At 37.0% G+C, this 13457-nt stretch overlaps 1 protein-coding gene across 3 annotated transcripts in view; it reads left to right on the forward strand.

Moving 5' to 3' along the window:
• The window catches only part of UHMK1 (U2AF homology motif kinase 1), a 32458-nt gene extending 19641 nt beyond the window's left edge, over positions 1–12817 (forward strand). Inside the window, exons 7-8 of one of the 3 annotated variants that reach the window (NM_001184763.1) lie at positions 1288–1376; positions 5590–12815. In NM_001184763.1, coding sequence (NP_001171692.1) covers positions 1288–1376; positions 5590–5736 — 236 coding nt within the window. In that variant the 3' untranslated portion in view covers positions 5737–12815. Of the gene's footprint in view, positions 1–1287; positions 1377–5589 lie in introns of all 3 variants that reach the window. The other 2 variants (NM_175866.5, NM_144624.2) reach the window with 2 other exon arrangements.

Below are 13457 nucleotides of genomic sequence, written 5' to 3' on the forward strand. Positions count from 1 at the left end.
ACCCATCAAACACATTGACAGTGATGAAACATTTGATTATCCTCTTGTGGGTAAGGGTATAAGGAAACATTTTTGTACATTACTAGAGAAAGTTTACATTGGTAAACTTTTATGGAAAGCAAATTGGAAAAATTATAAATTTATGTCAATTTTGACCCAGCATTTCTATTTCTAGAATGTCAACTTAGAAATACACAAGTGAGGCTGGGCGCAGTGGCTCACGCCTGTAATCCCAACACTTTGGGAGGCCAAGGCAGATGGATCACCTGAGGTCAGGAGTTTGAGACCAGCCTGACCAACGTGGTGAAACCCTGTCTCTACTAAAAATGCAAAGATTAGCTGGGCATGGTGGCACATGCCTATAATCCAAGCTGCTTGAGAGGCTGAGGCAGGAGAATCACTTGAACCCGGGAGGTGGAGGTTGCAGTGAGCCGAGATCGTGCCACTACACTCCAGCCTGGGAACAGAGCAAGACTCCATCTCAAAAAACAAAAAGGAAAGAAAGAAATACACAAATGAAATGAGATATGCATAGGGGGGTTATCTATTGCAGTACTGTTTTTAATGGTAAAAGTTTGGAAATTGTCTAATCAGTACTGGACATAGTATATAATATATTGAATATTCATAGAATAAAATATTTCATAACCATTAAAACAAATGAGAAAATTTTATGTGATAATTTGGAAATATCTTAAAGGACATATTTAATATAAAAAGCAAGGTATTTTTATAATTTCATATTTGCTTGTATATAAGTTTATAATAATGGCAGAATACAGAAGAAATTGGCCAGGCGCAGTGGCTCACGCCTGTAATCCCAGCACTTTAGGAGGCTGAGGTGGGCGGATCACAAAACCAGGAGTTCGAGAACAGCCTGGCCAATATGGTGAAACCCCATCTCTACTAAACATACAAAAATTAGCTGGGTGTGGTGGTGCACGCCTGTAGTCCCAGCTACTCGGGAGGCTGAGGGAGAAGAATCGCTTGAACCCGAGAGGCGGAGGTTGCAGTGTCACGCCACTGCACTCCAGCCTGGGGGACAGCGAGACTCTGTCTAAAAAAAAAAAGAAAAGAAACTGATACTATGTGTTGCCTTCAAGGAGAGTAGAAGGTGGAAGACTATTATTTATAATTTTGAATCATTTGAATGTCAACTATTCAAGACATAAAATGACCTCATTACTAGTTATGTATTCCTGAATTCTTTGATGATTAAAAAATTTAAAATGTTGAATACTTGTTTATTATATCAGAGCAGTTACTGTTATGTGTTTTAATAATCAGATGTTGTAGAAGATGTAAAAGAGGAGTGTCAAAAATATGGACCAGTGGTATCTCTACTTGTTCCAAAGGAAAATCCTGGCAGAGGACAAGTAAGTGAATATTTTCATAATTGCAGATTACTCAGAGGTTATTAAAATTCTGTGTTAAATGTTTTAGTTCTGTAGGAAGATGTACAACAAAATTTTGCTAAGGATTATGAGTTTTGCATTTTAATGATTTTTATATTCTGACTTGTACTTTTTACTTCTTCTAAAAGTTCTATAATATGCTTGCATTTTTTTAGCACTTAAAATTTTTTTTTTTTTTAAATATTGGCTGGGTGTGGTGGTTACGCCTGTAATCCCAGCACTTTGGGAGGCTGAGGTGGGTGGATTACTTGAGGTTAGGAGTTCAGAGATGGTGAAGCCCTGTCTCTACTGAAAATACAAAAGTTAGCCAGGCGTGGTGGCACATGCCTGTAATCCCAGCTCCTTGGGAGGCTGAGGCAGGAGAAACACTTGAACTCAGGAGGCAGAGGTTGCAGTGAGCCAAGATCCTGCCACTGCACTCCAGCCTGGGCCAGGAGAAATGAGTGAGACTTCATCTCAAAAAAAAAAACTACTTTTGGCTGGGCGCAGTGGCTCACGCCTATAATCCCAGCACTTTGGGAGGCCGAGGCAGGCGGATCACGAGATCAGGAGTTTGAGACCAGCCTGGCCAACATGGTGAACCCTTTTCTCTACTAAAAATACAAAAAATTAGCTGGGCATGGTGGCGCATGCCTCTAATCCCAGCTACTTGGAGGGGCTGAGGCAGGAGAATCGCTTGAACCTGGGAGGTGGAGGTTGTAGTGAGTGGAGGTCATGCCACTGCACTCCAGCCTGGGCAACAGTGTGAGACTCCATCTCAAAAAAAAAAAAAACTACTTTTGAGCCACTGTAAACAGTAACACCAGGCCAGGTGAGGTGGCTCATGCATGTAATCCTAGCACTTTGGGAGGCCGAGGCGTGTGGATCACCTGAGGTCAGGAGTTTGAGACCAGCCCGGCCAACGTGGTGAAACCCCCTCTCTACTAAAAATACCAAAAATTAGCCAGATGTGGTGGCAGGTGCCTATAGTCCCAGCTCTTCAGGGGGCTGAGCAGGAAATTTGCTTGAACTTGGGAGGCTGAGCTGCAGCAAGCTGAGATTGCTTTATGGCACTCCAGCCTGGGTGACAGAGCGAGACTCCATCTTAAAAAAAAAAAAAACAGTAACACCAACTGCTAAATCATGCTTTATTTCAGGTTCAGCTGGAGAAATGTTTTAGTCTAATTTTGTTCTAATTAGGTAGAGTTAGAAAGCCAATTAGGTTAGGTTCTAATTGTAATAGAAACTATCAGTGATAGTTTAAAGAAGGAAAGTGTGCTGGACTGAGAATTCTTGAACCTGAGTTCTAGCCTCAATATGATTAGCTTTGTGATGATCCTCATTTTCTTCATCTTTAAAATGTGTGGGCTAAAACTGTTATCACCGCATTTTCTTTAGAAACTCTAATTCCAAATTAAATTATATGACAAAGAATGTAAGAAGATATTTATTTGTAGTATTTTTATTTTTTGAGAGATAGAATTTTGGTTTGCTTTACCTTAGGGTTTCTCATTCTTGACACTATTGACATTGAGCCTGATAATTCTTTTGTTGGAGTAGCTGTCCTCTACACTATAGAACGTTTAACAGCTTTCCTGATTTCTACCCACTTTGAACAAAAAAAATGTCTCTAGACACTGCCAGATGTCTGTCCTCTAGGGGGTGAAGTCATCTCTGGTGGTGGATTATTTTATTGTATCTTTTTTTTGAGACAGGGTCTCACTCTGTTTCCCAGGCTAGAGTGCAGTGGTGCAGTCTCAGCTCTCTGCAACCTCTACCTTCCAGGCTCAAGTGATCCTTCTGCCTCAGCCTCCCGAGTAGCTGGAACTACAAGCACATGTGCCACCACACCTGGCTAATTTTTTGTAGAAACGAGGTTTTGCTATGTTGTCCAGGGCGGTCTTGAACACCTGAATTCAAGAGATCCAACCCGATTCAGTCTCCCTAAGTGCTGGGATTAAAGGCGTGAGCCACTGTGCCCAGCTATAATTTTATCTTAATAGCTTAGTATTATGAACATTCCTGACAACTGAAAAAATATGAAAACAAAAATATGAGCACAGTTTTATTCTAGTCCTAATGAAAAGTTATTGCCAAACTAGTGATAATAGTTTTACATTTAGTATCACGTACTGAATACTAATATGTATAATTGTATCCTTGCTGTTTAGTCATTTAACTGATATTTATTGAGCATTTATTATGTTCTAGGTACCCATTGTAAAAGTGGTCAAATCAGATTTTTAAAAGTGTGGTGATAAGTGCTAGGGAGAAAAACAGATTAAGGAAGAAACTTAAGGAGTGCTGGGGTAGGTAGGGTGGGTTGCACTTTTAAATGGGTTAGTAGGGAAGGACATCTGAGAAGGTCATATGAATCAAGATTTGAGGGAAGCGAGGAAGAGAATGTTAGGCAAAAGGAACAGCAAGATCCAAGGCCCTGAGTATTCCTGGCAGATTTGAGGAGGCCAATGTGGCTGTAGCAGAGTGAGAAAGAAGAATAGTAGGAGATTAGATCAGAGAGATTAGGGAGTGGTAGGGGGCTTATTAAGTAGAGTGAGCTGGGTAGAGTATTGAGATTACATTGGCTTTTATTCTGAACTAGGGCGAGGTATTGGAAGATTTCGAATGAAGGACTGACATGATCTGACTCAATATTAGCCCCAGTGGTCAAAATGAAGTGGAAGATACAGAATAGAGAGACAGGAGAAGTCTTTTCCAGAGAGAAGTATCCAGGTTTAAGATGATATGAAAAAAGTATCAGTGAGAGGAAAGTTGCTATTTTGAGAAGTTTTCACTGACATTTAAAGGAGAGTGAAAGCAGCTTTTGATAAACTCTTGGAATCACAGATTTAATCTATCTAGGCTTTTGAAAATGTCCATTACCTAGTTGTCGAAGCCATTCTTCATTTGAATTTTTAATTCAAGCAAACATGATTTTATAAGGAATGTTACAAAAAACACTGAAAAATAATGAATGCATCTGATAATGCAATTATAAAAATAATCAGAATTAAAATGATACAGCCCTATTAATTTCATAATTTATAAAAATAAGATGCCTTTCTTAGTGTGGGATGGTGTAGTATAGAAAAGTATAGCCTATCTGAAGCAAGGAGTATGATAGAAAACATGATATTCCTTCTATAAATGCATGTCTACTCATTTATCGAACTTTGCTCTATAGGTTTGGGCATAATTAAGAATCAGGTAAAAAAAAAATCAGGAATAGATTCATTATTCCTTTTTGGGGTGGGGTCAGGGAGGGGACAGGGTCTTGCTCTGTCACCCAGGCTGGAGCACATACAGTGTCGTGATCTTGGCTCATTGCAGCCTCGACTTCCTGAGCTCAAGTGATCCTCCCAACTCTGCCTCCCAAGTAGCTGGGATTACAGGCATGTGCTATCACGCCCAGTTAGATTTTGTTTGTTTGTTTTTGAGATGGAGTCTTGCTCTGTTGTTGCCCGGGCTGGAGTACAGTGGCGCAATCTCAGCTCCCTGCAACCTTCGCCTCCCGGGTTCAAGTGATTCTCCTGCCTCAGCCTCCTGGGTAGCTGGGATTACAGGTGTGTGCCACCTTGCCCAGCTAATTTTTGTATTTTTAGTAGAGACACGGTTTCACCGTGTTCGTCAGGCTGATCTCGAATTCCCGACCTCGTGATCCACCTGCCTTGGCCTCCCAAAGTGCTCAGATTACAGGAGTGAGCCCCTGCACCCAGCCAAATTGTACTTCCTAATAGGTGCAATTTCCAGCAGCTTTTGACCAATATTTTTTCCTTTTTCACTGCTAAAAGTACAGATTATCATCCAGGTACCATTGAAATGCAGTTGCTGTCTGAGCTATTCAGCCGTATCTTTGGCAGATGTCTAGTGTTATTCATCACTCCTGTAACGACCTTAGCAAAAGATTGTACATGATTCACACAACTTGTCCTTGAGAGATTTTTCAAAGTTGAGCTGAGTTGTGAGGAAGTATTCTAAACCTTGCTGTCCTGAAGTATAGTTCATAGACCAGCAGCATTGGCATCACCTGGAAGTTTGTTTAGAACAGAAACTCAGGCGACATCTCAGACCTAAGGAAGCAAAATCTGCATTTTAATAACATCTCCAGTTGATGTATATATATTAAAGGTGGTAAAGCACTGGTCTAAAACAATCTTGGTGGAAATGAAATGTTTTTTTCTCTGTCTTCTTTCAGGTCTTTGTTGAGTATGCAAATGCTGGTGATTCCAAAGCTGCGCAGAAATTACTGACTGGAAGGATGTTTGATGGGAAGTTTGTTGTGGCTACATTCTACCCGCTGAGTGCCTACAAGAGGGGATATCTGTATCAAACCTTGCTTTAATCAGTAACCTAAGGACTGTTTCCTTTTTCTCCTCTTCCATTTCTTGGGTTATTCCACATATGAATGCAGGACTACCCCCTTACCATTTTAAGAAGGTACTTTATACATTTATTTAATCCTACTAATGTGCAGCCATTGCCCAAGCAGTGACTGCGTTGCATACATTTGGCACTGAGTAGGACAAGACCTCTCAGCTATACATTGAGGGGTTTTAGAGCATCCATGTGGGCAACCCTTTTTTGTGCGGGAGAGCAGGTGTTGCTCTTCAGTATGTAGCCTAAAAAAATCTTAATTATTTCATGGATCATGAAGCAAGGATGAATAATATCATGTCTTGGTAAATACTAACAAATTTGTTAGGTTTGGTGACATCATTTACAGATTATTTCTTTATGTTGTCCAGTGGTTCTTCCTTATTGTTGATATCCATAAGCTGGCACTGGATGCTCTCAGTAATGTTAAGTAATTGTCAAGCAGCAGTTACCTACTGTGTTCTTAACACTGAGTTGTGAATTTTTTCTTAAAGCAGTACTGTAGTACTGAATATTCCTTTAAAGGAACTGCAGTGAGCCTATCTAAGTTTTTTTAAATTAAGGCTTTTAAAATAGAAAGCTGATGCTTGATCTTGCACAATTTTTATGTCTAGTATGTATGCTTGAGTGAATGTGCGAGTATGAATGATTAGAGAAAATTTGAGTCAGTGTACTTTATAGTGTGAATCCTGTGAGCTAATACAGTCTATACTTATTTCTTCCCTACCTGTTTCACATCCGTAAGATTTAAGATATACATTTTTTGAGAGGTAGTCTGTCTGATACAATGTAAATGACAAAACATAATTCCTGAGAGGCCCAGAACAAACTGGAGTCTAGCCTGGAGTTAAATTGAGACTTCTAAAATGATTGGAACAAAGACTAAGTTGTGCCAGATGTAAATCAACCCCTCTTTTAGTTTACTTTAGACTTTGTATTAGCTCATCTTTTTTGTAGTAAATCTATAGTTTTAAGGTTTCTCAAGATGTGGCTCTACCTACTATGATGAAAATTGAAGTGGGTCAAAAGAATTAGATGTACAGTGAAGGGAAAAGAAAAAAAATGGGCGAAGAGAGGGTGGAAAATAAAAGGATTCTTTTTTCTTCCTTTCTGTTTCTCGTATCCCTGCTCCCTTTTTCCTCCCCTTCCCTCATTCTTTGCCTCTATCCTTAGCTGAAGACAAACTAGAGGAGCAGCATCCCAGGTAGTTTGGCTTTTGACTGCAAGGTAGTTAAGAAAGGTGTAGATATAATGAGGTAGAAGTAGAAAGGAAGAAAAACTCAAAGAATTCTTAAAAGGATTCATAGCAACATAATGTGTCCCTGAGTAGAGGATGCTGCTATGCGTGAGTTCATGGACACAAGTTGATTACATGGTTTTTAGAATTATAATTATGGATTCTTCTTATTTCATGGTAGGTTGTCTTTAAAGATATAAAAATTAGGATGCCTTTATGAAGCACTGATTATACCAAAAAAAAAAGACAAGTTATATACAGGTTATTAATTTTTTTATTTATTTATTTTTTCCTAAGGAAAAAGTCTTCTATCTTTCCCTGCTGGAAGCCTCCTCATATTTCCTTATGTTTGCCATGCAGGTTGCTGAGAGTCCAGTTAGAATTTGCATTTTACAGAATGAAATACTTTACCCCATTCAAACAATTATTGTTTGACATTTTAGTTATTTATAATTGTCAAATTCAGGACTCTCCTTTAATGTTTATTATGAAACCAAATTTGGCATAAGGAGGCTGATTTATGAATTACCAAAGGGTCTTGTGGCATGTTCCCCAATACATGCCCTTAGAAGGAAGAACTATTATTTTTTATTTTGGCCCTTTCAGGAGTTGATTATAAATTGGTTTGTTTTCAAGTCAGAATTCAAGTGGGCAGAACCCGTATTGTGAAGACCTAAACTTTCCTAAATGTTCATATGGGTAGCAGATTTTGTGGTGATTAGAAACATCAGGTCCTTAAATACGATGAACATGGGATACAAAGGAATTCTTTATAAGGGCAAGTATCCTAAGTTAGCACATTTACTTTTCTCTCCCCTCCGCCCCCAAAAGAAAAATCCTTACAAATAAACTGCAGGTAGGCTTCTAAGCCTAGTCCTGCAGTATGCTGCTAACATCTTGATGCCAATCTTCACAGCATTCTTTGATTGTCATCTTATTGCTGATACATTCATACATATATTTAGTGCTTGACACTGTAGAATTTTGTTACAGAAGATGGTTACTAGATTTTAAGGGAGCTGAGGGAATAATTGATGAGCCTTGAATTAACCATGCATTTAATTAGATTTTTTGTTGTTGTTGTTGTTGTTTTGAGATGATGTCTTGCTCTGTTGCCCAGGCTGGAGTGCAGTGGCTCAATCTCGGCTCACTGCAACCTCTGCCTCGCAGGTTTGAGCGATTCTCCTGTCTCAGCCTCCCCAGTAGCTGGGTTTACAGGCGCTTGCCACCACACCTGGCTAGATGTTTTATATTAAAGCCAGAGAATTGAAAAAGAAATGCCTCCTGTGATTGAAATTATTTTATAGCTCTTAGCCCGTTCTACCAAAGATCACATTAGCAGATTACCCCTCCCTCCTGTGATATTATCTTTCTTAAACCTGAACCAAATATCAAAAGATACAAGTTTCATGATTAGGATGAAATATATACATAGGGATTTTGGTTTATTGAAGTTATTGAAAGACCTAGAAATTTTCTTTTTGAGAGAAAGGGTAAAGAGGTGAGGGTTCATGTCACTTAACCCCTACCCTTTTGGGCAAATTTTGTCTCAGGTAGTGTTTCATTCCCTAAATTAATACCTGTGCTTCCTTGCCTCTCACCTTCCCAGTTACTTCTTTGGGGTATTACTGTGGCACATTGTACACCCAGAAAAGGCACATACAGTGATTATTTTGTGGGAAATACTTGATTCTTTTGAAATATATTTGGAGGGGGTAGCTAGCTAGCCACTGTCAAAACTAATGCTGTATTTACAGGACAAAAACAAGTAGAGTTGGACACCTCAGTAAGAGACAGCATTAACTAAAAGTACTGACTGCCTTTTAAAGGAATTTTTAAAACTATTCTCTTGCAATAAGAGATCCGCATTTATTACCACTGGATGTCTTCCTTTTTTGTGGCCACCAATATAGCAGCTCTCTTTAGAGGGATTCCCTTTCTGCTATGCCTTGAGCCAAACTGGCTGCTTTTAGAACAAAAACCATAAGTATGGTTTTACTCGAACTTCTCTTTGTTTTTATTGAGAGAAATATTGCCTTCTTTTTGGTACTCCAGCTGCTAAAGAGTGCTGAGATATGTTAAATTATTTTTTAAAAGAAAATCTCCAAATACTTATTTAACTTGTCTTCTAGATTCATGTTGCTTATATTTTAACTATTGAGCAAGTTTATTATAAGGAATGCTGCCATATAGAGAAAGCTGAAGAGAAACCATGGGCAGAAGGCTTTTTTCTGTCTTATTACACTGGACCTTCACTCTGGTAAGGGCATCAGTTACTTTTCTGGAATAAAAGGCGGAGTTAGAGCACTTATCAGATGCTGTTTCATGGCTTGTTTTAGTTAATTTATCATGCAGATAACTAACATTTGGGTATCTTTTTGTTTTAGGTCTTATTTTCTGACTGTTAGGCCTATCTTACACATAAGTTCTACTATCAGTATACTTGGCAGCATGACTTTTTTTTTTTTTTACAGTTAATTTAATGAAAATCAGCACCATTGTAAATGATAGTAATTGTAACAACATAGTTACTGGGTGAAGGAGTAGGGGAGACACTCAGTAACCATCTATTTACCTAGACACTTATGCAGGGGTACATGCTAGGTGGCTTTATTCAGATTCGGGTACATTGGAATCACATCATGACTTTGAGTCTGATGGCTGTGTAGATAAAGATTTAAGCAAGTGCCTTGTGTTTGCTGGAAAATATTAAAACTCATTTGGGTGAAAGCTTCCCAGATGATGATAATTAATAGCACTTCTGCCTTTTTCCTGGAGTAACTTTTAGATTGAGTCACATATGATAGTATAAAAGTCCAAAATTTTCTGGGTTTACCTTTGTTTTATTTTTCATATATATATTCACTGTCTGCCTGGAAATAGCCTTGGTTTACCTTATTTTTTTGTATATGTAAAACTATTCATATTTGATTTTATTCCAATATTATATATGATGGAAAAGCCAGAATTGTCTGGCAGAATTTAATTCTTCCTTGGATCTCTAGTTCTGTTTTTAATATCAGGTTCCTTCATCAAATTTTACTACTGTAGCTCTGTGATATAATTTCATTTCTTGTCAATTATGGTCACATATAGACAAGTACTTGGTCACAATTAGCTCAAAAGAATCCCCATTTCTTAAGGTGCTCAGTCAATCACCTTTATTTTGAGATGGTAGTTTTTCAAGTTAGTATTACTTACTAGCTTTCTTGATGAATATAAAAATGTTGTCTCCATCATACAGAGCTGAGCCTCTTGTGGTATATTAAGATAAGTCCCATTCTTAATCACAGAAGAACATGGATATTTTAGTTTTTGGAGTACCCAGAATTGTAAAGATTTTGTTTCATTTTGTTTTAGGATAGCTTCTCTGCCTAATACTATAGGATATGTCATGTTCGTTATTGTAGCCACCTCCCTCAGATGTTTTTCACTATTTTTAAATTATATAATGACCAGTAGATTCACAGTAGCATGTACTTGACAAGTGCCATGGATATTTAAGAAGAAGGTAAATAATTTTAATATTTTTTGCTGTAATTTTATAGGAGCAGTGGACTGTAAGAGAAATATCTATAAATCAGAGAGTATTTAGGAAACTTTGTATTTTATAGGTGGTCATTAAAGTGATCTTCAGGATATAAGATAGTTTACACAAACTTTATTCTCCTGATAGGAAATTTTTATTCATTTTCCTACCACTCAGCACTTTTGTTCTGCCTTGTACTGCTTATGAGGATTAATGTTTTAAATTTGCTTTATTTGTGCTTTTCAGAGAGTTGTCATAATTGTGGCAGTTGTGTTTGTGGCACTGTAAATGCTGAAATTCATGGGAAACTTACCAAATGACTGCTTGAGTGTTATTTCCCATTAAATTGGGTAGCTGTCACAATAACCAGAAGAAATCTTGTGGCCCTTTTGAAGAAAGCCATGTATGTTTTGTTACCTAGGTTCATAGTATTTTAATTTAAAGGCAAAGAGAAGCATTCTACTTATTTGTCTTATAAACCATTAATCGTTTTTTGTGCAGAAGAGAGCTTATTTTGTTATACTGCTTTGTATAATGGAAATAAGTCACATTCTGGGGGAAAAAAACTGGAATTGTTTGTATTTTGTTTTTTTGGGGGGGGATCTTTATGTGAAAAATCAGAGCTACTTGTTACCATAAGCCCTTACTATCAACAAGATAATTATTTGTAATCACTTTTTTATCCCAGGTTGGAATTGCTTTCCCCTTCTAAGTTATCTTCCCTTAATAATATTTATGATACCAGGACAGTGAGGGTATAAGAGCAAATGTAGTGAGGTATTCAAAAATCCTGCATATATGGACTCAAAAGTTCTTTAGTTATTTGAATTATATATAGCTATATTATTTTATTAGCTTGGGTTGTCAGAAGATTGCCAATTTTAAGAGTAAAGAGGAGAGAGATAAGTAATAAAAATAGAGGAGGGGAAGAAAATGGCTCCCTTACTGGTCTTAGTAATCTTCTATATAGTTAATGAGCTAAAAAATGATACTTAAAGTTCCAGGTTTGGTACCGCTAGCATAGAAACATTGCCTTTCCTACACATTCCTCATCATTGTTTCCTCAGAAAATTATTTTAAGAGTTTGTGAAACCAGATTAAATATCTATATTCAGTTTGGCCTAATTTTTAAAAATAAATATTTATACTCCAGCTTTTGTGTATTTGGTGTACATCACCACTTATGCAAATCAAGGATCAGAAAACTGGAGGTTAGCCATCTCCATTATTTCCTTTTGCACATTGGGTACAGTGGGTGGCATTAGTATGCACTAGCTGCAAAGTCACAGCACCTTATGGAAATAAGTATGTTTATTATAATAAAAAAAAGTTAAGCTGCATCTCTGTAGATTATTTACTTTGCAGACTGTAAAGCTGCCCTATCTTTTCCAGCAGAATTTACTCTTCCATTCTTAATTCTTTTTTGAAATATCTTAAATAATTTAACATTCCTTTATAACTTCTTAACAGTGTCAAAACTGGGGTAGAAGGGATTTTATTTTTTCCCAAAAGGGTTCCATCTTTGCTATCTGTTGATCAGCCTTAGAAAATCTAAGTATGATCAATAAATTTTAATGGTTGATGGCATCCTGTGTCAGCTGGAGTAGTTGGTTGTGAATATTAAAACCTAGTACTATTTTCCCTCAGTAACATGTAATTGCTACATTTTTTATAAGAAGGTATGGTTAGAAAAAAATGTGAAAGATCACTTAAACCAAAGCCAGTTACAAGGAGTAATCTCTCCTGTTGGTTTACCTTCACCTCAGAACTACAAGAATATTACAATACATAGTGAATAGTTGTCTGTAACATTTCTACCAGTTGTTTCAGTAGCATATTGGTCTTGGCATTTCTTGGCACTGTGGTTCTGCTGTATTATTTGTGATGTCTTATTGTTTGTGAGCTTTTGTTTTTTTTTTAAAGAAAAAACAAAAACTAAGTGGGACTATGTATGTAGATGTGTGTCAGTACCAAAAAGTTATTTTCTCAAATCCCTAAATTTCTGATTTCCATTCAAGTCTTTTAAACTCTTTCCTGCTGAATAGCAAAGAACTTTTATTTTCCACTTTCCTATATTCCTAAAAAGTGTGAACAATGCGTTTCAGTTGACTGTATTGCATACTTTTTTGCTGAAGACTTTTTCTGTAAACACAATTGCCTTGTTCAGTTTTGTTGTAAACTGACTTACCATAAGATGCACTGTTGATAATGCTTTCTGATGTGTGTTTGATAAGAGTGATAAAATAAAAGCTTAAAAATAAAGGAGTTGCTTTTTAATTTCAACTTTTTCTATACTTAGTATAAATATTCAGATAACAGGTAAATATATTTATTTTCTGATTTAATTTTAACTAAAAGCTGCCAATAAAAATTTCCATGTAGCTTTAACCACCCATTTCTAAAGAATATGATTTTTCATTTTTGGAAATCTTGCATCATATTGGTAATACTGATATGTAATTTTTTATTTTGGAAAAGTGTTCTTGATATTATAGAAACAGCCAGGTCTAATGAAAAGAACCAGAGTTCAGAGTCAGGAAATTTGTGTTCTAATCTTGGCTGTTTTATCAACTTGGATATCTTTAATCCAGTGATTCTGCTTTGATAATAGCTGTATTTTTATGTTGTGAGGACCAAATGAGATAATAGGTGCAATAGTAATAAAACAGCCACAAATCATGAAGCATCAACTAGGTGATGGGTACCATTTTAGTTTATATCATGTTTAATGTTCCCTTTTTCCACATGGGAACTGAAACCCAAATAACCTGAGACCCAATTAACTGAGACAACAGAGACCCAATTAACCCAAATAAAGAGACTTGCCCGACATTTCATAAAACTGAGAGGTGGTATTTATATACTGGTCTGTCTGGGAGTGGCATTGGCATGTTGTTTTGGGAAGTCAGTGACAGATCTGGAA

Source organism: Homo sapiens, chromosome 1, assembly GCF_000001405.40.
Source record: "Homo sapiens chromosome 1, GRCh38.p14 Primary Assembly".
NCBI lineage: Eukaryota > Metazoa > Chordata > Mammalia > Primates > Hominidae > Homo > Homo sapiens.